General features: G+C 48.6%; 1 protein-coding gene, 1 long non-coding RNA gene and 1 pseudogene across 2 annotated transcripts, besides 11 other annotated features; 2 read left to right on the top strand and 1 right to left on the bottom strand.

Annotated features, from left to right (window-relative positions):
• Positions 1,404–1,913: a silencer, noted in NCBI's record as "silent region_5941". NCBI's record gives its function as "represses an Ori minimal core promoter by ATAC-STARR-seq in GM12878 lymphoblastoid cells {active_cell/tissue: GM12878}" and the evidence as "EXISTENCE:reporter gene assay evidence [ECO:0000049][PMID:35858748]".
• Positions 2,642–2,731: a silencer, noted in NCBI's record as "silent region_5942". NCBI's record gives its function as "represses an Ori minimal core promoter by ATAC-STARR-seq in GM12878 lymphoblastoid cells {active_cell/tissue: GM12878}" and the evidence as "EXISTENCE:reporter gene assay evidence [ECO:0000049][PMID:35858748]".
• Positions 3,082–3,141: a silencer, noted in NCBI's record as "silent region_5943". NCBI's record gives its function as "represses an Ori minimal core promoter by ATAC-STARR-seq in GM12878 lymphoblastoid cells {active_cell/tissue: GM12878}" and the evidence as "EXISTENCE:reporter gene assay evidence [ECO:0000049][PMID:35858748]".
• Positions 3,230–4,157: an enhancer, noted in NCBI's record as "NANOG-H3K27ac-H3K4me1 hESC enhancer chr14:75745521-75746448 (GRCh37/hg19 assembly coordinates)". NCBI's record gives its function as "activates a minimal SCP1, AML or CMV promoter by ChIP-STARR-seq in naive H9 embryonic stem cells {active_cell/tissue: H9 hESC(naive)}" and the evidence as "EXISTENCE:reporter gene assay evidence [ECO:0000049][PMID:30033119]".
• On the top strand, positions 3,240–6,642 carry FOS (Fos proto-oncogene, AP-1 transcription factor subunit). The gene is made up of 4 exons (NM_005252.4): positions 3,240–3,535; positions 4,289–4,540; positions 4,972–5,079; positions 5,195–6,642. Exons 1-4 carry the CDS (start codon positions 3,395–3,397, stop codon positions 5,834–5,836), a joined length of 1,143 nt encoding a protein of 380 aa, NP_005243.1. The 5' UTR covers positions 3,240–3,394; the 3' UTR covers positions 5,837–6,642.
• Positions 3,512–3,571: an enhancer, noted in NCBI's record as "active region_8742". NCBI's record gives its function as "activates an Ori minimal core promoter by ATAC-STARR-seq in GM12878 lymphoblastoid cells {active_cell/tissue: GM12878}" and the evidence as "EXISTENCE:reporter gene assay evidence [ECO:0000049][PMID:35858748]".
• Positions 4,158–5,083: an enhancer, noted in NCBI's record as "NANOG-H3K27ac-H3K4me1 hESC enhancer chr14:75746449-75747374 (GRCh37/hg19 assembly coordinates)". NCBI's record gives its function as "activates a minimal SCP1, AML or CMV promoter by ChIP-STARR-seq in naive H9 embryonic stem cells {active_cell/tissue: H9 hESC(naive)}" and the evidence as "EXISTENCE:reporter gene assay evidence [ECO:0000049][PMID:30033119]".
• Positions 5,110–5,669: an enhancer, noted in NCBI's record as "H3K4me1 hESC enhancer chr14:75747401-75747960 (GRCh37/hg19 assembly coordinates)". NCBI's record gives its function as "activates a minimal SCP1, AML or CMV promoter by ChIP-STARR-seq in primed H9 embryonic stem cells {active_cell/tissue: H9 hESC(primed)}" and the evidence as "EXISTENCE:reporter gene assay evidence [ECO:0000049][PMID:30033119]".
• Positions 5,670–6,229: an enhancer, noted in NCBI's record as "H3K4me1 hESC enhancer chr14:75747961-75748520 (GRCh37/hg19 assembly coordinates)". NCBI's record gives its function as "activates a minimal SCP1, AML or CMV promoter by ChIP-STARR-seq in primed H9 embryonic stem cells {active_cell/tissue: H9 hESC(primed)}" and the evidence as "EXISTENCE:reporter gene assay evidence [ECO:0000049][PMID:30033119]".
• Positions 13,557–13,741: a silencer, noted in NCBI's record as "fragment chr14:75755848-75756032 (GRCh37/hg19 assembly coordinates)". NCBI's record gives its function as "represses an EF-1alpha promoter that drives an FKBP-Casp9 reporter gene in an ReSE screen in K562 erythroleukemia cells {active_cell/tissue: K562}" and the evidence as "EXISTENCE:reporter gene assay evidence [ECO:0000049][PMID:32094911]".
• Positions 16,294–16,873, bottom strand: DPPA5P4 (developmental pluripotency associated 5 pseudogene 4; annotated as a pseudogene).
• Positions 18,384–18,523: an enhancer, noted in NCBI's record as "active region_8743". NCBI's record gives its function as "activates an Ori minimal core promoter by ATAC-STARR-seq in GM12878 lymphoblastoid cells {active_cell/tissue: GM12878}" and the evidence as "EXISTENCE:reporter gene assay evidence [ECO:0000049][PMID:35858748]".
• Positions 18,594–19,053: a silencer, noted in NCBI's record as "silent region_5944". NCBI's record gives its function as "represses an Ori minimal core promoter by ATAC-STARR-seq in GM12878 lymphoblastoid cells {active_cell/tissue: GM12878}" and the evidence as "EXISTENCE:reporter gene assay evidence [ECO:0000049][PMID:35858748]".
• LINC01220 (long intergenic non-protein coding RNA 1220) lies at positions 18,816–20,822 on the top strand. Its single transcript, NR_038421.1, has 3 exons — positions 18,816–18,953; positions 19,089–19,149; positions 20,532–20,822. It is a non-coding gene; the product is annotated as a long intergenic non-protein coding RNA 1220 (long non-coding RNA).
• The last annotated feature ends 4,069 nt before the right edge of the window (positions 20,823–24,891 follow it).

Genomic DNA, 24,891 nt, shown 5'->3' on the forward strand with positions numbered 1-24,891 from the left:
CACAGGTTCGGATGTTAGTGGGGCAGGAGAGGGAGTCTGAGATTGTATTGGCCTATACTGTGGCTTCTGGTTGAGCACTTGGTTTGCCTGGATGATGCTCTGGCCTTACTCAATCTTTATCATTCCATTATCCAGAGGACAGAGGATCTGAGCCCCATCTCTGTATTGCAGTCACCTCCTCTGGGACCTGTTTCCAAGCCTTCTTCTGTGTTGCCTGGCACCCCTTTCTTACCTCTTTCAAACCACTTACTGCTACCCTGTAAGCTCGATTGACTTGTTGGTCTTCCTATGAGACTGGAATCTCTCTGAGGGTCGGGACAGGCCTACCCTCTTCATTACAGTGAGCACCAGCCTCCAGCCCAGTCAATAGTTTTGTTAAATAAATAATTGAACAAAATTATTTGTTAAATAATGGTTTGTCCTTTCCAGAGGATGGACTTAGTTTGTCCTTTCCAGAGGATGGATTTAGTAAGTCTCCAACTCTGGTCATAATGGTGCCAGAAGGAAAGAGTTAAGCTATCTGGAGGAAATAGGCTCACTCAAAGACCCTTCTTCTTTTTTTTTTTTTTAATTGGCAAAGGCAGGATAAGTGTATTTGAGATAAATCCTGGATATAAAATCTTGACACATCTTTTAGGTATTGGCCGAGATGCTTTGGACCTGAAAGGGAAGTAAATCAAATCATTCTAGGTTTTCTTTTCTTTTCTTTTGGAGACAGAATCTTGCTCTGTTGCCCAGGCTGGAGTGCGGTGGCACGATCTCGGCTCACAGGAACCTCTGCCTCCCGGGTTCAAGCAATTCTCCTGCCTCAGCCTCCTGAGTAGCTGGGACTACAGGCGTGCGCCACCACACCCGGCTGTTTTGTATTTTTAGCAGGGACAGAGTTTCACCATGATGGCCAAGCTGGTCTCGAACTCCTGGCCTCAAGTGATCCACCCGCCTCGGGCTCCCAAAGTGCAGGAATTACAGGAGTGAGCCACCGCACCCAGTCAGGTTTCCTGTTAAGTGGCCTGAGATCTAGTTGTGAATGGCAGTCATGGCCAGACTCAGGAATTCAAAGCTTGACCTATTTTGTCTGAAGCTAATATTAATAATAAGAGAGATGTATTTGGCTTCATAACCCCTTTCCCTCCCGTCCCCCTCTTTCTTTCTGTAATCAAGGATAGAATTAGAAGTACCGAAGGCCGCAGAATTGCTTTAGGATTCAGAGCAGCTCCAAGGAATCTGTGTTTACGTATTATGTGTGTTTTTCCGTTTCCCTCCCTTTTTATGAGTGAGAAAAAAAAGCGCCTAAATTCCCACCAACATAAACCAATGACATACAATGATGAAATTCTGTTTTCACCTCTGCCTGTGACAGGGAATGCAAAAATAGCAAGTGGCCCAGTTCCACGAATCCCCGCCTCCTGCCCTCCCCGCTCCTGCCGGGTTGGATCTCTAAGAATGGAGGTTAGCGCACAGCCTCGCGCGGGCCGCTCAGCCCCCGGACCCGGCGGATGATGTCAGGCGACGGGAGCGGCCGCGGCCGGGCCGGGGAGGCCGCGGCCCAGGGGAGCTGGGAGGGAGGGTGGCCTCGCCAGGCCGACGGCGCGCCCGGCCGCGCGGCGTTGCCTGGAGACGGCCCTGGCGGCGCTGTGTTGCTGTAAACAGCCGCTTCCCTGTTACTATCTATAGCAGGATCTCCTGGCTCCCGGGCGCGGCGGCTGGAGGCAGGTCTGCGGTCCGGCTCCCCGCGCGCCCCGAACTATCCGCCCGCCGGCCTCATCCTGCCTCGCCCCTCTCCAGGTGCCCACCGCGGGCCCCGACCCCCGGGCCCGAAGAGTGGAGAAGGGAAGACCGGGGCTGTGCGGGGACATGCGTCTTCGCGCCCTGGAGGTGGCCAGCGCGCTGGGGCTGAGCCCCGGCAGCGTGACCCCGGCTGTCCTACGCAGCAGGGCAGGAGATTGGGGGGCGTGGCACACTCTGGAGCACCTTGCCTCCCCAAAGCCCCGTGTTCCAGGACGTGGAGCCGCTCCTGGGGTCCCAGCAGTCGAGGTATTCCGCCCAGGCGCAGCTGGACACTGTCCTTCCAGCCCCCGTCCTCCACCCTCCAAGTCCGCGCTGGAAAATCACCCGCTGCGGGCTCCCGTAAGCACAGCTTCCTGGCGGGACCGAACCAGCCCTCAGCGCAGATTTGAGTTCCCCGCAGGAAGCACACCCCGCCTTGTCATCCCGAACTGACCACCCTGCCCACATAACCACACCTCGCACTCCCTACCCCTGGGGCCCAGCTCAGAACCGGGCAGACACCCCCTTCAAATGTCTTCGCACGTAGGTTTTGCACAGTGTTTATCTGCTGGTGTCTCAGGGATTTGACAGTTTCCTTAATATTCCCACACATGGCCGAGAAAAATAAATAAATAAATGCGCTGTCTTCTTTAAAAAAATAAATAAATAAAGTACCCAGTATCGTAAAGTAGGTTATCGTATTCTCTTATTTTGGATCCTCCACTTTCTGCTTCCAAACGCAGGAACAGTGCTAGTATTGCTCGAGCCCGAGGGCTGGAGGTTAGGGGATGAAGGTCTGCTTCCACGCTTTGCACTGAATTAGGGCTAGAATTGGGGATGGGGGTAGGGGCGCATTCCTTCGGGAGCCGAGGCTTAAGTCCTCGGGGTCCTGTACTCGATGCCGTTTCTCCTATCTCTGAGCCTCAGAACTGTCTTCAGTTTCCGTACAAGGGTAAAAAGGCGCTCTCTGCCCCATCCCCCCCGACCTCGGGAACAAGGGTCCGCATTGAACCAGGTGCGAATGTTCTCTCTCATTCTGCGCCGTTCCCGCCTCCCCTCCCCCAGCCGCGGCCCCCGCCTCCCCCCGCACTGCACCCTCGGTGTTGGCTGCAGCCCGCGAGCAGTTCCCGTCAATCCCTCCCCCCTTACACAGGATGTCCATATTAGGACATCTGCGTCAGCAGGTTTCCACGGCCTTTCCCTGTAGCCCTGGGGGGAGCCATCCCCGAAACCCCTCATCTTGGGGGGCCCACGAGACCTCTGAGACAGGAACTGCGAAATGCTCACGAGATTAGGACACGCGCCAAGGCGGGGGCAGGGAGCTGCGAGCGCTGGGGACGCAGCCGGGCGGCCGCAGAAGCGCCCAGGCCCGCGCGCCACCCCTCTGGCGCCACCGTGGTTGAGCCCGTGACGTTTACACTCATTCATAAAACGCTTGTTATAAAAGCAGTGGCTGCGGCGCCTCGTACTCCAACCGCATCTGCAGCGAGCATCTGAGAAGCCAAGACTGAGCCGGCGGCCGCGGCGCAGCGAACGAGCAGTGACCGTGCTCCTACCCAGCTCTGCTCCACAGCGCCCACCTGTCTCCGCCCCTCGGCCCCTCGCCCGGCTTTGCCTAACCGCCACGATGATGTTCTCGGGCTTCAACGCAGACTACGAGGCGTCATCCTCCCGCTGCAGCAGCGCGTCCCCGGCCGGGGATAGCCTCTCTTACTACCACTCACCCGCAGACTCCTTCTCCAGCATGGGCTCGCCTGTCAACGCGCAGGTAAGGCTGGCTTCCCGTCGCCGCGGGGCCGGGGGCTTGGGGTCGCGGAGGAGGAGACACCGGGCGGGACGCTCCAGTAGATGAGTAGGGGGCTCCCTTGTGCCTGGAGGGAGGCTGCCGTGGCCGGAGCGGTGCCGGCTCGGGGGCTCGGGACTTGCTCTGAGCGCACGCACGCTTGCCATAGTAAGAATTGGTTCCCCCTTCGGGAGGCAGGTTCGTTCTGAGCAACCTCTGGTCTGCACTCCAGGACGGATCTCTGACATTAGCTGGAGCAGACGTGTCCCAAGCACAAACTCGCTAACTAGAGCCTGGCTTCTCCGGGGAGGTGGCAGAAAGCGGCAATCCCCCCTCCCCCGGCAGCCTGGAGCACGGAGGAGGGATGAGGGAGGAGGGTGCAGCGGGCGGGTGTGTAAGGCAGTTTCATTGATAAAAAGCGAGTTCATTCTGGAGACTCCGGAGCGGCGCCTGCGTCAGCGCAGACGTCAGGGATATTTATAACAAACCCCCTTTCAAGCAAGTGATGCTGAAGGGATAACGGGAACGCAGCGGCAGGATGGAAGAGACAGGCACTGCGCTGCGGAATGCCTGGGAGGAAAAGGGGGAGACCTTTCATCCAGGATGAGGGACATTTAAGATGAAATGTCCGTGGCAGGATCGTTTCTCTTCACTGCTGCATGCGGCACTGGGAACTCGCCCCACCTGTGTCCGGAACCTGCTCGCTCACGTCGGCTTTCCCCTTCTGTTTTGTTCTAGGACTTCTGCACGGACCTGGCCGTCTCCAGTGCCAACTTCATTCCCACGGTCACTGCCATCTCGACCAGTCCGGACCTGCAGTGGCTGGTGCAGCCCGCCCTCGTCTCCTCCGTGGCCCCATCGCAGACCAGAGCCCCTCACCCTTTCGGAGTCCCCGCCCCCTCCGCTGGGGCTTACTCCAGGGCTGGCGTTGTGAAGACCATGACAGGAGGCCGAGCGCAGAGCATTGGCAGGAGGGGCAAGGTGGAACAGGTGAGGAACTCTAGCGTACTCTTCCTGGGAATGTGGGGGCTGGGTGGGAAGCAGCCCCGGAGATGCAGGAGCCCAGTACAGAGGATGAAGCCACTGATGGGGCTGGCTGCACATCCGTAACTGGGAGCCCTGGCTCCAAGCCCATTCCATCCCAACTCAGACTCTGAGTCTCACCCTAAGAAGTACTCTCATAGTTTCTTCCCTAAGTTTCTTACCGCATGCTTTCAGACTGGGCTCTTCTTTGTTCTCTTGCTGAGGATCTTATTTTAAATGCAAGTCACACCTAGTCTGCAACTGCAGGTCAGAAATGGTTTCACAGTGGGGTGCCAGGAAGCAGGGAAGCTGCAGGAGCCAGTTCTACTGGGGTGGGTGAATGGAGGTGATGGCAGACACTTTTACTGAATGTCGGTCTTTTTTTGTGATTATTCTAGTTATCTCCAGAAGAAGAAGAGAAAAGGAGAATCCGAAGGGAAAGGAATAAGATGGCTGCAGCCAAATGCCGCAACCGGAGGAGGGAGCTGACTGATACACTCCAAGCGGTAGGTACTCTGTGGGTTGCTCCTTTTTAAAACTTAAGGGGAAAGTTGGAGATTGAGCATAAGGGCCCTTGAGTAAGACTGTGTCTTATGCTTTCCTTTATCCCTCTGTATACAGGAGACAGACCAACTAGAAGATGAGAAGTCTGCTTTGCAGACCGAGATTGCCAACCTGCTGAAGGAGAAGGAAAAACTAGAGTTCATCCTGGCAGCTCACCGACCTGCCTGCAAGATCCCTGATGACCTGGGCTTCCCAGAAGAGATGTCTGTGGCTTCCCTTGATCTGACTGGGGGCCTGCCAGAGGTTGCCACCCCGGAGTCTGAGGAGGCCTTCACCCTGCCTCTCCTCAATGACCCTGAGCCCAAGCCCTCAGTGGAACCTGTCAAGAGCATCAGCAGCATGGAGCTGAAGACCGAGCCCTTTGATGACTTCCTGTTCCCAGCATCATCCAGGCCCAGTGGCTCTGAGACAGCCCGCTCCGTGCCAGACATGGACCTATCTGGGTCCTTCTATGCAGCAGACTGGGAGCCTCTGCACAGTGGCTCCCTGGGGATGGGGCCCATGGCCACAGAGCTGGAGCCCCTGTGCACTCCGGTGGTCACCTGTACTCCCAGCTGCACTGCTTACACGTCTTCCTTCGTCTTCACCTACCCCGAGGCTGACTCCTTCCCCAGCTGTGCAGCTGCCCACCGCAAGGGCAGCAGCAGCAATGAGCCTTCCTCTGACTCGCTCAGCTCACCCACGCTGCTGGCCCTGTGAGGGGGCAGGGAAGGGGAGGCAGCCGGCACCCACAAGTGCCACTGCCCGAGCTGGTGCATTACAGAGAGGAGAAACACATCTTCCCTAGAGGGTTCCTGTAGACCTAGGGAGGACCTTATCTGTGCGTGAAACACACCAGGCTGTGGGCCTCAAGGACTTGAAAGCATCCATGTGTGGACTCAAGTCCTTACCTCTTCCGGAGATGTAGCAAAACGCATGGAGTGTGTATTGTTCCCAGTGACACTTCAGAGAGCTGGTAGTTAGTAGCATGTTGAGCCAGGCCTGGGTCTGTGTCTCTTTTCTCTTTCTCCTTAGTCTTCTCATAGCATTAACTAATCTATTGGGTTCATTATTGGAATTAACCTGGTGCTGGATATTTTCAAATTGTATCTAGTGCAGCTGATTTTAACAATAACTACTGTGTTCCTGGCAATAGTGTGTTCTGATTAGAAATGACCAATATTATACTAAGAAAAGATACGACTTTATTTTCTGGTAGATAGAAATAAATAGCTATATCCATGTACTGTAGTTTTTCTTCAACATCAATGTTCATTGTAATGTTACTGATCATGCATTGTTGAGGTGGTCTGAATGTTCTGACATTAACAGTTTTCCATGAAAACGTTTTATTGTGTTTTTAATTTATTTATTAAGATGGATTCTCAGATATTTATATTTTTATTTTATTTTTTTCTACCTTGAGGTCTTTTGACATGTGGAAAGTGAATTTGAATGAAAAATTTAAGCATTGTTTGCTTATTGTTCCAAGACATTGTCAATAAAAGCATTTAAGTTGAATGCGACCAACCTTGTGCTCTTTTCATTCTGGAAGTCTTGTAAGTTTCTGAAAGGTATTATTGGAGACCAGTTTGTCAAGAAGGGTAGCTGCTGGAGGGGGACACACCCTCTGTCTGATCCCTTATCAAAGAGGACAAGGAAACTATAGAGCTGATTTTAGAATATTTTACAAATACATGCCTTCCATTGGAATGCTAAGATTTTCTACTGCTTCTGGGGACGGGAAACCGCTGTGTAACAGCTTTTGTGGGAATACATTTTTTCTGTTTCAGTACTCGCAGGGGGAAATATTTAAATTTTGTTGTGCTAATATTAAATTCAGATGTTTTGATCTTAAAGGAACCCTTTAAGCAAACAGAACCTAGCTTTGTACAGACTATTTTAACTTTTTATTCTCACAAAATCACGTGGAGGGTTATTCTACTTCAAAGATGAGCAAATTGAAGAATGGTTAGAATAAACAACTTTCTTGATATTCCGTTATCGGCATTAGAATCTTCCTGCTCGTTATCGTATCCAGCAGGCTGAACTGCCTCTTGATACTTGGTTAAAAAAAATTTTCAGGCCGGGCGCGGTGGCCCATGCCTGTAATCCTAGCACTTTGGGAGGCCGAGGCAGGCGGATCACCTGAGGTCGGGAGTTCGAGACCAGCCTGACCAACATGGAGAAACCCCGTCTTTACTAAAAATACAAAATTAGCCTGGTGTGGTGGTGCATGCCTGTAATCCTAGCTACTTGAGAGGCTGAGACAGGAAAATCACTTGAACTCGGGAGGCGGATGTTGCAGCGAACTGAGATTGCGCCATTGCACTCCAGCCTGGGCAACAAGATTGAAACTCTGTTTAAAAAAAAAAGTTTTCACTAATGTGTACATTTTTTTGTACTCTTTTATTCTCGAAAGGGAAGGAGGGCTATTGCCCTATCCCTTATTAATAAATGCATTGTGGTTTCTGGTTTCTCTAATACCATATGCCCTTCATTCAGTTTATAGTGGGCGGAAGTGGGGGAGAAAAAGTTGCTCAGAAATCAAAAGATATCTCAAACAGCACAAATAATGGCTGATCGTTCTGCAAACAAAAAGTTACATAATAGCTCAAGAAGGAGAAGTCAACATGACTCTGAACAAGCTTTAACTTAGAAACTTTATCATCTTAAGGAAGAACGTGACCTTTGTCCGGGACGTCTCTGGTAATGGGGCACTTACACACACATGCACACGTACAAACCACAGGGAAAGGAGACCGCCCTTCTGCCTCTGCTCGCGAGTATCATGCAGGCACCATGCACTATGTTTTCACACACACTGGGTGGAAGAAGAGCTTCAGCGCCAGTCTTCTAATGCTTTGGTGATAATGAAAATCACTGGGTGCTTATGGGGTGTCATATTCAACCGAGTTAAAAGTTTTAATTCAAAATGACAGTTTTACTGAGGTTGATGTTCTCGTCTATGATATCTCTGCCCCTCCCATAAAAATGGACATTTAAAAGCAACTTACCGCTCTTTAGATCACTCCTATATCACACACCACTTGGGGTGCTGTTTCTGCTAGACTTGTGATGACAGTGGCCTTAGGATCCCTGTTTGCTGTTCAAAGGGCAAATATTTTATAGCCTTTAAATATACCTAAACTAAATACAGAATTAATATAACTAACAAACACCTGGTCTGAAATAACAAGGTGATCTACCCTGTAAGGAACCCAGCTGGTGGGCCAGGAGCGGTGGCTCACACCTGTAATTCCAGCACTTTGGGAGGCTGAGACAGGAGGATCACTGGAGTCCAGGAGTTTGAGACCAGCCTGGGCAACATGGCAAAACCCAGTGTGCTTCTGTTGTCCCAGCTACACTACTCAGGAGGCTGAGGCAGGAGTATGACTTGAGCCTGGGAGGGGGAGGTTGCAGAGAACTGATATTGCACCACCACTGCACTCCAGCCTGGGTGACACAGCAAAACCCTATCTCAAAAAAAAAAAAAAAAAAAAAAAGGAACCCAGCTGGTTCCTGTAGGTGTGCAATAATAACAACCAGAGGAAGAAAAGGAAGACGATTTCCCAGATGAAGAAGGGCAGCTGGACCTTCGGACATTGACCTGCTCCTGGGGACCTCAATCATGGTCCCTGTCAGCCCCATGCTTACTCTAGAGGGTGAGCATTGCTTTCCCTTTGACAGCCCTGGCCAAGGCCCAGACACAGACCCTTGCTCTAGCTTATTGCACAGCCCAGTGGAGACCAGGCTGCTACATCAAGATGGCGTTAAAGGTCCAGAAAGAGGAAATCAGAGACCATCGGATCCCCAGGGTTGACATCCCACCAAGCTTCCTGCTGACCACTTTCATGGGCTTGAGAGAAGAAATTCCTTCCTCCTTTCTCCAGCTAAATGGCTCCTTCCAAATCCCTTTTACTCACTCAGGACTGGACAACTCTCAGGGATTATTAACTCTGGGAAATTTTTTGTTTTTGTTTTTTGTTTATTTTTTTTGTTTTTTAGGCAGGGTCTCGCTCTGCTGCCATCTCGGCTCACTTCAACCTCCGCCTCCCGGCTTCAAGTGATTCTCCTGCCTCAGCCTCCTGAGTAGCTGGAATTACAGGCAACTGCCACCACTCCTGGCTAATTTTTGTATTTTTAGTAGAGACAGGGTTTCACCATGTTGGCCAGGCTGGCCTCGAACTCCTGACCTCAAGTGATCCCCCCAACCTTGGTCCCCAAAGTGCTGGGATTACAGATGTGAGCCACCATACCTGGCCTTCAACTTTCTTTTGAAAAAGACTTTGTCGGATTCCTACCCACAAGCTATGGCCTCATGCTAATCTCAATAAAACAACTACCTGCCAGGCGCGGTGGCTCACACCTGTAATCCCAACACTTTGGGAGGCCAAGGTGGGTGGATCGCCTGAGGTCAGGAGTTCGAAACCAGCCTGGCCAACATAGTGAAACCCCGTCTTTACTAAAAATACAAAAAAATTAGCTGGGTGTGGTGGCGGGCACCTGTAATCCCAGCTACTCGGGAGGCTGAGGTAGGAGAATGGCATGAACCTGGGAGGCGGAGCTTGCAGTGAGCTGAGATCATGCCATTGCACTCCAGCCTGGGTGACAAGCGTGAAACTCTGTCTCAAAAAAACAAAAAACAAACAAAAAAGAAAACAACTACCAGAGGGCACCACTATTCAACATTGCTAAAGACATATACATATAATTGAAGGGGATAGAGGCAGAAGTCATTTCCTCATGGGGATTATGTCCAGTTTAGCTCACCAGGATCCCCAGAACTGGCTCAGTGCCTGGCACATGGTACAAGGTTAATTAATATTTTGCCCAGTGGATGAATAAATTCTGTGCTATTTCCATACACAGAAATATATTCCACACATATTCTTTAACTTCTCCTCTCCTGGTCCCTGTTAGTATATTAAGCAATGGGAATTTTACATCTTTTATGTCTGGCTGCAAAAATATACCCCATTCCCATCCTTGCCTCCTGGAATTCCTTCACTGTCTTCCTGGATGACCTCTGCCAATTCAACTTCAAAGCTGCCATTGGGCTTCTGGCTCCAAATTAATTTTCAATGGGAAGAGGGAAGAGGAAAAATATTTATCTCTGTAGAATAGTGGATTGTAGATTCTGCATCATCTTTGCACATCACTGCATCTTGTGTAATTATCAAAATTAAAGGGTAGGATTTAACAATTTGTTCTAATAACAGTAATTTTGTATCAACAGCAATTCCCATGTGTGAATGAAAGTAAATCAATTATGCTATCTTTAATTAACGGACAAAAAAAAATTGAGGCACAGTAAAAGTTCTCAGTTGATTATCTTGAGGTAATCGTCTAAAGTTTCAATGTTTTTACAGTTGAAAAAAAGCTAAAACAAAATTGATCTCTAAATGGTGTATGAGACTCATTCCAAACAGAGTAACCAAACTCCTCAAAAAAAAAAAAAAAAAAAAAAAAAGAGATATGAGCCTCACTTGAATGCTGAATAGCAGAATGCTTTAAATTGTGCTGTTTTCCTATTAATATTAAAGAGTTGACTTTTAGGAAGTCTCACTCAGGGTCCCCTGTCTCTCTACTGAAGAGAGAGTTATTCTCCTTTCTCTTTCTTTTGCTTATTAAACCTCTACTCCTAAACACCACCCCTCCACCAAAAAAAAAAAAAAAAGTTGACTTTTAATTCCTCTCCCACTCTATCTCTTTTCCTTCTTCCCTACAGGCACTCTGCTCACGAGCCTTCCTTCCACTCCTGGCACATAGAACACGTACTCCTGCAGCAGGGCCTCTGCACTTGCAGTCCCTCTGCCGGGGCCTCTTGCCCCAGGCTGGCGGCATCCTGTCATTTGGGACTCTGCTCAAAGGACATGTCCTCCAAGGGGCTTTCCCTGGTCATTCTATCTAGGGTGACTTCGGGACATACTTGCTCCCTAGGACTCTCTATTTAGTTATCCTGCTTTGTTTTTTCACAGCCTGTATCCCTACTTGCAATATCTAATTTATGTGTTATTTTCCTTTTAAAAAATTGTCTGTCTCATCGGGTGCAGTAGCTCACGCCTGTAATCCCAGCACTTTGGGAGACCTAGGTGGGCGGATTACCTGAGGTCAAGAGTTCGAGACCAGCCTGGCCAACATGGCAAAACCCTGTCTCTACTAAAAATGCAAAAATTAGCTGGGGGTGGGTGGTGTGCACCTGTAATCCCAGCTACTCAGGAGGCTTAGGCAGGAGAATCGCTTGAACCCAGGAGGTGTAGGTTGCAGTGAGCCAAGATCGTGCCAATGCACTCTAACCTGGGTGACAGAGCAAGACCCTGTCTCAAAAAAAAAAGAAAATTGTCTGTCTCTTATCCCTGAACTGTAAGTTCCATGTGAGCGGGAACCTTTTCTGTCTTGATCACATTTGTATCTCTAGTGTCTATTAGGCCCTCAAGTGCATGTTGAATAAAGAAGATGAATGAGTGAATGAATGCAGATGAAAATTACAAAAATATTGACAGGGACATAGCTAGAACTTAAAGTGAAGATAAACTATATACTTCACAGATTTTTTTCAGGGTAGAAGAGTATGCCCATTTGTTTAAAAAAATTGCCTTCGAGGATTCTACAATATTAAGATGAGGAGCTAGCTAGCTTGGGAAAGAATTTTAAGGGGTACAAAAAATACAAGTAAGCTGTAGGTCAGTGACACTTCTAGGCTAATTATAGGTTGAGAAATTGTTTCGCTATTAAATGCAGAATGAATGCATATATAAATTTAGATATAATCATTTTCAAAGAAACAAACAAAATTATGTTTTTCACTCTTACTGCTATAAAACTTTCAGACTATCACAAAAATCCCATTTGAGTTCAATGGTTCCTAGCAATCAGTGTGCTAAATGGTAAAACCTATAATTTAGTCTGCATTAAAATAGAAGAATAAGGGTTAGCTACTATCATTATTATCACATCAACATCATCATCATAATTATCATTTGCCAAGAATATGCCCAGACCTGAGGAGAAGCAGGTAGAAATAGGGTACATTGAATCCTGAGGAATCAGTGCAAAGTCTCTGAAGGGGGATGGTTGGATAGATTTCCATTTCCTTTGCATGCGGGAGAAAGCAACAGAAACGTAAACCAGTTCCGTTGCAACACAATTTATTTTCGTGGTTCCACACATCTATTTTTGGACTAAACTAAGTTGCCTTTCCTTTGCCCAAGCATTCTTCAGTTGCTTAAGAGGACACAGAGCAGTAAGGGCTCTGGAGCCTGCCTGGCCTTATGGCCATCAGCTCTCCATTTTTTTTTTTCTGAGACGGAGTCTCACTCTGTCACCCAGGCTGGCTCACTGCAACCTCTGCCTCCTGAGTTCAAGCGATTGTCCTGCCTCACTCCCGTCTCAGCCACCAGAGTAGCTGGGATTCCAGGCAACTGCTATCATGCCTGGCTAATTTTTGTATTGTTGTAGAGATGGGGTTTCACCATGTTGCCCAGGTTGGTCTCCAACTGCTGACCTCAGGTGATCCGCCGGTCTCAGCCTCCCAAAGTGCTGGGATTACAGGCATGAGCCACCGAGCCCAGCCAGCTCTTCTTAATAAGCCCTTTTCCCTTTCAGCTCAAGGTGATTGGGTTTGGTACAGTCAGGTGACTGGGAGGGCTGGGAACCCGCACGGGTTTAATTGTTGGTTATGTTAGAAGCAGACCCATACAAAGGGGCCCCTATTAAAGGGTCTAGACTGAGCAAAACGAAATACCTTCGTGCTAAATGTAAGTGACCCAGTCTCCAGTTGCCGCCATGCTTACTTTGGGGAACAATTTTTGGTCAAATCTATGGAAGCAATGATTTGTTTTTAGGCTTTTTGTCAGTGATGTGACTATCATCACAGCTAAATTTATCAAAACAATATAATATATTGATCTAAATTTGGGGAATTGGATCCAATGTATGTATGTATGTATGTATTTATGTATTGAGACAGTATCTCATTCTGTCATCCAGGCTGGAGTGCAGTGGCACAATCTCGGCTCATTGCAACCTCTGCCTCCTGGATTCAAGCGGTTCTCCTGCCTCAGCCTCCTGAGTAGCTGGTATTACAGGCGCATGCCACCATGCCTGGTGACTTTTTGTAATTTTAGTAGAGATGGGGTTTCACCATGTTTCCCAGGCTGGTCTCGAACTCCTGACCTCAAATGATCCGTCTGCCTTGGGCTCCCAAAGTGCTGGGATTACAGGCGTGAGCCACCGCACCCAGGCAAGAATTGGATCCAATTTAGCAGAGTGGTCCAAAGCATAGACTTAGCCCTGAATCCTCACTCCTAGACTTTGGGTAAGTTATTTAACCTCTCTGCTCCTTAGTTTTCCCTCCTGTAAGATGGGGATAATAATTGTATCCACTTCTTGGGGTTGTTGTGGACATTAAATAAGTTGGTATGTATAGACTGAATATCACAGCATCTGGGCACACAGAAGTATGATAGAAGGGTTAGTTGTTTTTGGCTGGGCACAGTGGCTCACGCCGGTAATCCCAGCACTTTGGGACGCCGAGGTGGGTGGATCACCTGAGGTCAGGAGTTCAAGACCGGCCTGGCCAACATGTTGAAACTCCATCTCTACTAAAAATACAAAAATTAGCTGGGCGTGGTGGTGGGACCTGTAATCCCAGCTACTTGGGAGGCTGAGGCAGGAGAGTTGCTTGCGCCTGGGAGGCAGAGGTTGCAGTGAGCTGAGATGGCGCCATTGCACTCCAGCCTGGGCAACAAGAGCGAAACTCCATCTCAGAAAAAAAAAAATAAAAAAAAGAAGAAATGTTAGCTGCTTTTATTATCTTTATAGTTTAGGGAGATGGGGGTCAGGGGAACATGTATGGGCTTCATTTCATTTAATAAAAAGTTTCTGGGTGTCTGCTATGTATCAGGTATTGAATTCAGTGTGAGGAAGAGACAATCCTGTCCTCAAAGAGCTCAAGTAAGGGAGAAAGACAGGTAAACACAAACCTTATAATACACTGTAACAATGGAAATTAACACCAGGTTCAGGAGTTACATGGAAGAGGTAGTGACAAACTCTCTCTGGGGGAGTCTCTGAGGAAGGTGACCTTTCAGCTAGGCTTCGAAGGTGTATGGAGCTTGCTAGATGAGCAAGTGGCAGGGTAGAGAGCTTCTGGGCTGAGGATTAGCACTGCAAGGGCACAGACTCATAAAACACTGAATTTGGTTTTGCTCAACTACAAAGTGTGTGAGGGGGCAGTGAGGGGGAGATGATGAGGAGGAGATGTAAATTACAGAACATCACGCAAGTGCATTTAATTTCACTTATATCAATATTGCATCATCAAATAGATGGGGCTGAAGATCAGCCAAGAAGAGATCACTGTGACCAGATCATGAAAAGCCTGGTGCTTACTTAGCTCAGTTATGTGTAGGCTGAACCAAGGCAGTGGTGGTGGGAATGGAGAGGGAACAAGAGGTAATTAGGGGGTCAGGACCTGGTGATTGAGTAGGTGGTGGAGGTGAGGGAGAGGGAGGAACCCAAGCTCACCGTCAGGTTTACCAGGCTTGAAACACGGGAGGCTTGTGTTTCCACCAATGGCTTTGTGACTATAGGAAGAGGAACAGGTTTGGGGGTTAAAAAGGTAAATTCTATGTTGGACATGTTGAGTTTGCAATGCCTGGGGAGTATCTATGGGGAGATGTGGGCAGTTGGAACCACAGCAGAGGTTCTATGATATGAGTTTATAGAGCTTGTCTGGAGGCAAATGGTTGGGATAGAACCTGGAGCCTTAAGAGAAAATATTGATAATGCCCAGTATTTCACATGTGCTTGCTCTGTGCCAGGTTGTGCTATGCACTTTATAGGCCATGCTAAATCAATGACTTTGGTTTGCTAATCATTGTACCTCTAGCAACTGGCACGTAATGGGCATACAATAATTATTTTGTTTAATAAATGCTCTCATTTAGTCCTCACAACAATCCTATGAGGCAGATATGATTAGTGTCATTTTACAGATAAGGAAAACAATTTAGGAAAGGTTAAATAAGCTGACCAAGGTCACACAACTGGTAAGTAGCAGATCTAAGATTTGAATCCAGCTCTTTGTGACTCTAAAACCCAAAGTGCTTAACTGCATTGCTAGAATGTGAACATCTGCTCTTAAAGATGTGCTTATGTGACCTGGGGTGAGATTTCAACCCCTCTGAGACTATTTCCTATGCCAGATTAGGGGTGGGATTCAAAAATCTCTAAGCTCCCTTTCCATCTTCAAAACTCTGATGACATCAGGAGACTGCTACGAAAATGCCCTAAAGTGCCCGCACCACATCATTCTTAGATGCTTGATGTTCTAGTAGCAACACTGGGGCATGCTCTGCAGTTGACACTCCTTGTAATCCTCTCACGGAACCTTTTTAAGATGGGAGGCCTGAGCAGTGTGTACAGAGCCACAGAAGTGTACCAAGCATGGGGAGGTGGGAGCAGTCTGTTCTAGGGATAGGCAATGAGAATGTATTTGGTTCTATTTCTGTATAACAATTTACCACAAACTTAGCAGCTTAAAGCAACACACATTTATTATCTCACAGTTTCTGAACATCAGGAGTCCAGGTATAGCCAGTTGCTTATCTAGCAAACTCCATCCATCTTCTGAACAGAACAGTGTTGTGTTCAAGGTCTCGCGAGGCTGCAATCAAGGTGTCAGCTGAGCTGTGTTTTCAGCTGGATGTTTGAGTGGGGAAGAGTCCACCTCCAAGCTCACTCAGGTTGTTCACAGACTGTATTTCCTTGTGGCTGTATAACTAAGAACTCTGGCATTTTGCTGGCTGTTGGCTGAGGCTACCCTTCGGTTCTAGAGGCTGCCTTGTAAACTTCTTCAACACAGCTGCTCACTTCATCAAGCCTGCGACAAGAACCTCTCCAGTGCATGCCAGCAAGATGGGGCCATACACAGACATAAAATTACGGGAGTGACATCCCATCACCTTTGCATTTTCTATTGCTAAGAGGCAAGTCTCAGGTTCCACCTGCACTCAGATGGAGGGAATTACACAAAGGCATGGACATCAGGAAGCAGGAATCACTGTGGGTCACTCTAGGATTTGTTATCCACAAGGGATCACATTATCTGCTTAGAATTTCAAACGAATAATAAAACCAAAAAAAGTTGGTCTGCCTTTTAAAAATTTTCCCTTATTTAAAACTTTATTCTTAATAAAGAAAAATGAGAAAACCCCAAAACTTTCTTCTTTAATTGGCAACCTTCAAAAAAGATATTCACAACAGGACTCAGAGCAAGGGCAGAGATCCCCAAAGAGATGGTTTTTCCTTAATTCATCAGGCTGGAGCAGAGTTTAAACCAAGCTGGAACCACTCCGGCTCTGGCCACAACCTAATCTCTACATCCTGGCCTCCATCACATTGGCCGGAAGCTGGTTCGCTTCATCCAAGGGTCTAGTTTGAGGGCATTCATGGCTTCTGCAAGTTTGAGCATCCCTTGCTCCTGGTGCTGGCAGTGCCACTCAGCCATGGACTGGAGCATCCACTTGGTTTGGAGCTTGTACCAATAGGAGCTGTAAACCACGACCTCGGTGAGGTCTGAAGACTCCAGAGCCTTCAGCTGGAGCATGGCCTTGCTCATCTGCTCGATGTAAGGGATTATCCATACGGGCCTGCTGGGGGAAGGGGATGAGAGCTCCCAGGTAGGGCACCCAGGCCAGCACTGGGCACACTCACCAAAGGTGGCTTCCAGCAGCCGCGTCGGGACCTAGAACACCTCTGGGCCTTTCAGGTCTTTGGGCAGTCTGCCTTTTAAATAAACACTATGAGCTGGCAATTCTAATGTTGTCAGTGACAAAGTACTTCTTCCTGAAAAAATCTTTGGTTGTTTTAAGTCCTAAACAGTTGCTGGGATTACTATTGAGTTTGAATAATGTAATATGTACGCTTCATTTTAAAAAATTACTTAAAAAACAGAGATAACACAATGACTGTGAAGACTGAATTTGAGTTGCTTCTGTTCCATGTAACCATTTGGAGTTTTCGTGTTTAAAATTTAAAATTGCGAAGCAGTGTGATACAGTGTTTTGCCATGTTTTTATTTGACAAATGCACATTTTAGTTAATAACTAAATATTTTTACTAGATTTGAATATTATCTTTAAAATAGATAATTCCTTTTGCTTATTTATTTTTGAGAGAGGGTCTCCCTGTCACTCAGGCTGGAGTGCAGTGACTGCAATCAAGGCTCACTGCAGCCTTGACTGCCCTGGCCCAAGATCTTCCCACCTCAGCCTCCCAAGTAGCTGGGATCACAGGTGTGCACCACCATGCCCAGCTATTTTTTTTTATTTTTGTAGAGTCGGGGTCTCCTTATGTTGCCCAGGCTGGTCTAGAACTCCTAGGTTCAAGTGATCCTCCTGCCTTGGCCTCCCAAAGTGCTGGGATTACAGGCGTGGGCCACAGCGCCCGGCCCCCTTTTATTTTAAATCTAAAGAAGACTCGAGAAAAAAAACATTACGTCAGTAGTAGATTTAGGAGATGCACTACTAATACTACGTAAGTTTCTCTTGTGCTGCCTGGGAATAAAAATAAACACTTAACACTAACTTGGGGCTCACAACATGCTTGACACTGTTCCAAACACACACACACACACACACACACACACACACACACACACTCATTTTAAAAGTCCTCATCTACTCTTAAAGGTAGGTCCTGCTATTATCCTTATTTTTGTAGATAATAATATAGTCTGGGGCGCAGAGGTCTGCTCAAGATCATCCAACTGGAGTGGCAGCGCTGGAATTAGAGTCCAGGCAGTGTGGCTTCAATGCCTGAACTCTTAGCCATTAGAAAGGAAAAACAAAGCAAAATCAGTATCCGCAACAACCTTGCAGGCACGGAGGCCCTCAGAAGGGACAGGAGAGGCCGGGCGCGGTAATCCCAGCACTTTGGGAGGCCGAGGCGGGCGGATCACCTGAGGTCAGGAGTTGGAGACCAACCTGGCCAACGTGGTGAAATCCTGTCTCTACTAAAAATGTAAAAAATTAGCCGGGTACGGTGGCGCGCGCCTGTAGTTCCAGCTACTTGGGAGCCTGGGGCGGGAGAATCGCTTGAACCGGGAGGCAGAGGTTGCAGTGAGCAGAGATCGCGCCAGTGCACTCCAGCCTGGGCGATAGAGCGTGACTCCATCTCAAAAAAAAAAAAAAAAAAAAAAAAAAAAACAAAGGAAAAGAAAAAGAAGGGACAGGAGGGCCTCCTTCCGCTCCTGACCAGCCCCTGCTGGCCCGTGGGCAGAGGGAGAGCCGGCTTCCAGGGACCTCAGGGAGGGACGTTTGGGAGTGCTCTCTCAGCGTCCCCTCCACCGCCCTCTCTACACCCTTGCCGCGCCCCTGTCCTCGTCGGCCAGGCCAAGGTTTCTCCTGGCCCTTCCCAGCTTCCGGCCCTTTGCTCCAGGGCAGGTCGCAGGGCCAGACGGTGCCAGGAGCTCGCGAGTCCTCTGTTTACTGTTTGGTTTCCACGGTGACACGTAGGCGCCGTCAGCGACTCCCGTCACCGCCCCGCAGCGCGGCCCCCACCCGGCGCCGTGACGCCGGCCCGCCGCTTCCGCTCTGCCCATATTTGGCTCAGCCACTGCGCCGCCGGCCCGGGGTAGGCTGTGGGCGGGACTCCCGCCGCGCCCCGCCCCCGGTCCCTGCCCCGCCCCTGGAATGCTGGGCGAAGGCTCCGAGCCACGAGACCCCCGCCTCCTGTCCCGGGACCCACCCAGGCGGAGGCAAGGGCAGGGGCGCTGGGGGCCCAGAGAGAGGGCGCCGCGATGGATGAATGAGCTGTTTCCAGCATTCCTGTGCGTCTGCTGGTTGTAGCTGCAGTCAAGATTTGGGGCGGTCTCGTTTGTTGTGGGTGGGTGATCTGGGATCACGATTTTCTCACTCTGTGCCCGGAAATCATGCCATCTCTCGCCCAACGCTGTATTTTATAGGCTTCAACTCAAAATTTTCCTTCATGGCACAGTGGAAAGCTTTGAAGACGGCGGTTCTGGGGTCAGTGTTGCCCCTCGGGGGATAAGTGACCTTGGGAAGGCCATTTTCCTTTTCCTGGCATGATAAAACGAACCGTGGGGGTGGTCCATAATGGTTGCAGCACTGTCATCAGGCTTGTGAGGGGAGCTTTTCCATCACCCTCTAACCACCCCCTCCCCAGGACATAACTGGAATATCAGTGAAGTTCTTTGAGCATCGACCCCCTACAGTTCTGCCCCCTGTGGTGATTGGATTTGTGTGTCTCTGCACCTTGCTCCTATTAGGCGCTTAATGAACTTTAGTTAACTGATTATTGAATGAATAATACGAATCACCTTCATAAATCCGGACCCCTGCAATTCCTCTTCCAGGCCGGGCGAGGGGGAGGGTAGGGGATGGGGGAGAATATTGAGATGATTAATAATCGCGCGGCAGGGTTGCTGATGTAAAGCGATTTGCAGATCTAAAGGGCAATAAGCATTCCTGGGAGAAATCCAGCGAGATTCCAGAAGTCTCTGAGGGAGCCGTGGGTGTGTACCGCCGGGCCCAGAGGGCGGGGGTGGGGCAGGCAGTGCCGCAGTGGCCGCTGCTGGGGAGCCGATTGCAATTGCGAGGAGAAGCGTGGGGTTAATCCTTCAAGACGCCTGTCACCATCCTCCCACCCCCATCCCTGCCCCCTAGATTCCCCAGTTCCTCTGGCTGAAGGAGTGTGTGTTTTCCAGAGTTTCAGAGCTGGAAGTCACATCGGAGACTTTTAATCTAATTTAACCTATTTCGCCAACAGGGAAATTAAAGCTCAGAGAAGTTGGTTCGACCATCCAAACTTGCACAGCTAGTTAGAAACTGATAAAAGTCAGGATATCTAGCTTCAAATAGTGTTCCACATCGCCTAGGTGCTTCTAATTTCCTGTGCTTCAGAACCCTGTTGCCTGGCTCAGCTGGTGGGTTGTACATTTAGGCTAAATATTGACTTCAGGGCTCTTAAAGAACGCCATTGTCACGTCTGCTGCCACACGCAGCCCACACCATGACACCAGGGCCTGGGGGGGATGGCCAAGAATTGTGTACTTCCTAAAGCCTCAAGCATTCCTCCTTAGAGCAGCTGGAATGGTCACCCCTGTCCAGGGAACAGGAGTCGGCTGTTCTGAAACCAGTCTTAGTCTAGCAGTTGGTCACTTTTCATAGTTACCCAAGCCTTGCATTAAACTTTTCTCAGCCAAGATTACAGCAGGAGGCAGGAGTAGCCCTAACCCTTTTCTGCTGTTTGGAAGTCTTTTCATGGCACATGGAGGGTTCCTTGCTGGGGGTGGGGAAGAGTGCCTCTTCAATGCTTCTCTCTTTCTCTTTCCCCTTTCAGTCTCACCCAACTTCCTCTTACACGCTGTTTCTTCCCTAACTTCTAGGCTGAATATGAAGGCAACTCGGACTAAGAAGACGACTGCTTTCCAACTGCCCTCCCGTCCTGCAGCCGCCTGATTTGAGGAAGGGGCTGGGATCCTTCCCCTTGCCCTCTGGTTGTTCTTGGAGTTACAGCAGCCCCGCGGCAGCTCTGCCCCCTAGTGCACATGTGAGGCAGCGCGCCCTTCTCCAATCCAGAAGCCTCGTCGCGGTGCTGCCAGCAAGGGAGTTTTTCTGTATTCACTTTGGTGGAAATAGCAAAACTTGACAGAAAAAAAACCCAAGCCAAACCAAAACACACGAACCATTCTAGCCTTTTCTCTCTTTCGTTTCTTTCTGAGGATCTGGCCGATTTGGATGCAGAAAACATGCCTGTTGCTTCTGCTGCGAAATCTGCTCTTTCTCTTCCTGCTATCGGAACCCTGTCCCTTCTTTCAAAGCCTAATTCAGGCCAGGCGCGGTGGCTCACGCCTGTAATCCCAGCACTTTGGGAGGCCGAGACAGACGGATCACTTGAGGTCAAGAGTTTGAGACCAGCCTGGCCAAAATGGTGAAACCCTGTCTCTACTAAAAATACAAAAATTAGCTGGACATGGTAGCACACGCCTGTAATCCCAGCTACTCGGGAGGCTGAGGCAGGAGAATCACTTGAACCCGAGAGACGGAGGTTACAGTGAGCTGATATCAGGCCACTGCACTCCAGCCTGGGTGACAGAGTGAGACTCCATCTCAAAAAAAAAAAAAAAAAAGCCTATTTCAAATTCCACCCCTTGCCTAAAAACTTTTCCTGACTTCTGACTTTCCTCTCCTATGCGTCTTTTTTATTTTTTATTTTTGAGCTGGAGTCTCACTGTGTCACCCAGGCTGGAGTGCAGTGTCGCAATCTCCGCTCACTGCAACCTCCGCCTCTGGGGTTCAAGCAGTTCTGCCTCAGCCTCCCGAGTAGCTGGGATTACAGCCACCCGCCACCATGCCTGGCTGATTTTTTGTATTTTTAGTAGAGACGGGGTTTCATCATGTTTGTCAGGCTGGTCTCGAACTCCTAACCTCAAGTGATCCACCCGCCTTGGCCTCCCAAAGTGCTGGGATTACAGGCATGAGCCACCGCGCCCAGCCATCCTATATGTCTTTTGAAATATGGCTGTACACAGGCTCAGCACACAGTGTGCACTTATATACTGTATTTCTTTATTGGGGTCCAAGTCTGTGCATCTTTTGTGTTCACAGACCCCAGGGTGCCCAGCACAGGGCTGGGGACACAAACTGCTCTCAATAAGCCCCTGTTTATTAATTAATTGATTAGCTTCCACAGAAACAACTGAGGTTTTGCTTCAATAAACCTTGCAGAACTCTTAGTTCTTTAGGGACTCTGGATAGTGATCTAATCAAATATGGCCTTGCACAGTAAGTCATTTCACAAAGCAATTTCACAAGAGAACACTAACATCACCCAGAGTGGGATGAGGAAGTCTGAAATTTGAAGTGGACTCTCAGAAAGATGAGGAAGGTGGCGGTGCTGTAGACAGGTCAAAGGACAATGACTTAGGAGAGGTGGGTCTCTGCTTCTGGGATAGAAGACGCAGCACGGGCCCTAGAGTTAGCTTCATATCCAGACTCTACCACTTGCTGTATGTCCCTGGGCAAGTTTACTCTTCTCTCTGTGCCTCAGTTTTCTCCTCTGTAAAAAAAGGCCGGGCATGGTGGCTCCTGCCTGTAATCCCAGCACTTTGGGGGGCCAAGGTGGGCGGATCACCAGCGGTCAGGAGCTTGAGACGAGCCTGGACAACATGGTGAAAACCCATCTCTACTATAAATACAAAAATTAGCAAGGTGTGGTGGCACGCGCCTGTAGTCCCAGCTACTCTGGAGACTGAGGCAGGAAAAATCGCTTGAACTCAGGAGGCAGAGGTTGCAGTGAGCCAAGATCGCACCACTGCAGTCCAGCCTGGGTGACTGAGCAAGACTCCGTCTCCAAAAAAAAAAAAAAAAAAAAAAGTACCTATCTCATAGTGATACAATGAGGGTGAATTAGCTGGTATTTGTAAAGTGCTAAAGCAACACCTTGCACCTCGTAAGTACCATGTAACTGTTTGTAAATGAATTTTCCAGCTTAGCTGTCTTGTCATTGGAATGGGGATTGATTATATGTTCTCTTGGTTCCCTCGAGCAGTGACCTTTCAGGGCAGTGCATAAGCTTTGGGGTCAGGCAGGTCTGGGTTGACTCCTATCTTTGTCGGTAGTTGTGTGACTTTGCACAGATAACTTCTCGGAACCTCAGTGTTCTTATCTGTGAAATGGGAATAATTGTGTCTACTTCAAAAGACTGTTGTGGGTATTGCATGTTTGTAATGTGCCTGGCACAGAAGGAGTGTAATAAACAGAAGCTATAGTTATTATTGTGGACAAGAGCAGCCACATGTAAAGGAAAATAGAGTTTCCAAGGTCATTGAAGTTTCCAGAAAGACTGAACATATCAGATAGCAATGAGACCAGCTCAACTTGTGGAGCTTGGTGGGAGGGTGGGCCTGGGTCTGCGCCAGGAGTAAATATCACCCCATTTGAGGAAGCAGAAACGGTGTGACTTGCACATCAGCTCTAAGAACATTTTCTGCTCCAGGGCTGTGCTGAGGGCGTGGACCCACTGGGGCTGGATGCCAGGAGCTGGAGGCCTCTCCGGCTCTCCTTCCCAGGAGGGGAGATTTTAGTAGAGAGGGTGTGGGTGGGCCTTGGAAACCTCTTGTTGTGTGTGCGTGGGGTGCGGGGGAGTGTCAGAATGGCCCAGGGATATCTGGCCTTGGTAGGTGTACTCCCAGGCCTGGGGTGGCCTTCCTCATGGCAGAACCTGCCTTCACGGCTCCTCAAAGCTGCCATCCTTCACTCCAACTGAAGACACCCCTGACTGATTGCCTGCAATTATCCGAGGAGTGGGGGAAGGAGGGTTTTGGTAGTCTTGCAGCCAAATTAATCTTAATTCCCTTCAACTCGTGTGGAAAAGTACCCAACGAAATATGCAAATGCTGCATGTATTCCTTCAGTAAAGGGGAAGGAGGGTTGCAACATCAAACAATGATAGGGTGTCGCAATCCTAAACGTGTGAGGAATTACTCTTAAGGTCCTCGTACTTGACAGCTCCGGGCCCCCATGACACATGAGGAGTTTTGTGCTCCGAAACAGGCCAGGGCCAGGGTGTCTACCACGCTTACCACTAGCTGTGATTTGGGGGCCTCAAACACAGCCTGAGACCTGGCAAAACCATCTTAGGAACTGGGGATCACAGAGGACTCTGCAAACCTCCTTCTAAACTCATATTTCCAGTAATGGCAACAGGGTGGGCCCTTAATAGCTCCTGGAGCAGAAATTGAAGGTTGAGCTATCTTTAAAAAAAACATGGCAGGCGTGGTGGCTCATCCCAGCACTGTGGGAGGCTGAGGTGGGAGGATCACTTGAGGCCAGGAATTCAAGACCAACCTGGTCAACATAGTGAGACACCATCTCTTGAAAAAAAAAAAACAACATAGCTTATGAAGAGTCATGAAGGTGCTAATATTGGCTGTTCCTGGGTAGGAGGGAATGTGTTTTTATTTTCTTCTTTTTGCTTGTCTGTACTTTCTGATTGCCTTTTTTGGCAAGCACATATTGCTTTTGTAATAGGAAAAAAATATTTTCAAAACGTTCTCAGCAAAGTAGTATGTTTGTTTTTAAAATAGATGACAACATAATAAATGGGAAGTTTCCAACACCTCCTCACTTTTTAAAAAAAACTTTTCCCAAAAGAAATACATGCTCCTGGTAGAAACCTTTGAAAATTCAGATCATCAAAAAATAAAGAAAATAAAAATTGACTGTAATCCCATCACAGGAATAACCACTGTCAACATTTTTAATTCTACCTTTCCAATACACACACTAGTTTCATTTTTTATTTATTTTTTGGACAGAATATTGCTCTGTCACCCAGGCTGGAGTAGTGCAGTGGCACGGTCCTAGCTCACTGCAGCCTTCAACTCCTGGGCTCAAGTGACCCTCCTACTTCAGCCTCCTGAGTAGCTGAGACTAGAAGCACATGCCACCACTCTGGGCTAATTTTTTATTTTTTATAGAGATGGTGTGTGTGTGGGGGGTCTCACTATGTTGGCCAGGCTGGTGTCAAACTCCTGGCCGCAAGGATCCTCTCTGCATGTTAGTTTTCTACTTCAATTCACATACTGTAGTTTTTGCAAAAACAGGACCATGCTGTAATACTTGTAATTACAAGTATTGTCATTTTGCTTCTTCTACATGGTAGTTCATGGACATCAAATTTTTTTTACATGATCACTTTAATAGTCATGAGACTGGGCGTGGTGGGTCATGCCTATAATCCCA

This window comes from Homo sapiens, chromosome 14 (assembly GCF_000001405.40).
Source record: "Homo sapiens chromosome 14, GRCh38.p14 Primary Assembly".
NCBI lineage: Eukaryota > Metazoa > Chordata > Mammalia > Primates > Hominidae > Homo > Homo sapiens.

Coding starts and splice junctions, on each gene's coding strand:
- FOS (NM_005252.4), top strand. CDS start 3,395: ATGATGTTCTCGGGCTTCAACGCAGACTACGAGGCGTCATCCTCCCGC. Junction 4,541..4,971: donor GGAGGGGCAAGGTGGAACAG/GTGAGGAACTCT, acceptor TGATTATTCTAG/TTATCTCCAGAAGAAGAAGA. Junction 5,080..5,194: donor TGACTGATACACTCCAAGCG/GTAGGTACTCTG, acceptor CTCTGTATACAG/GAGACAGACCAACTAGAAGA.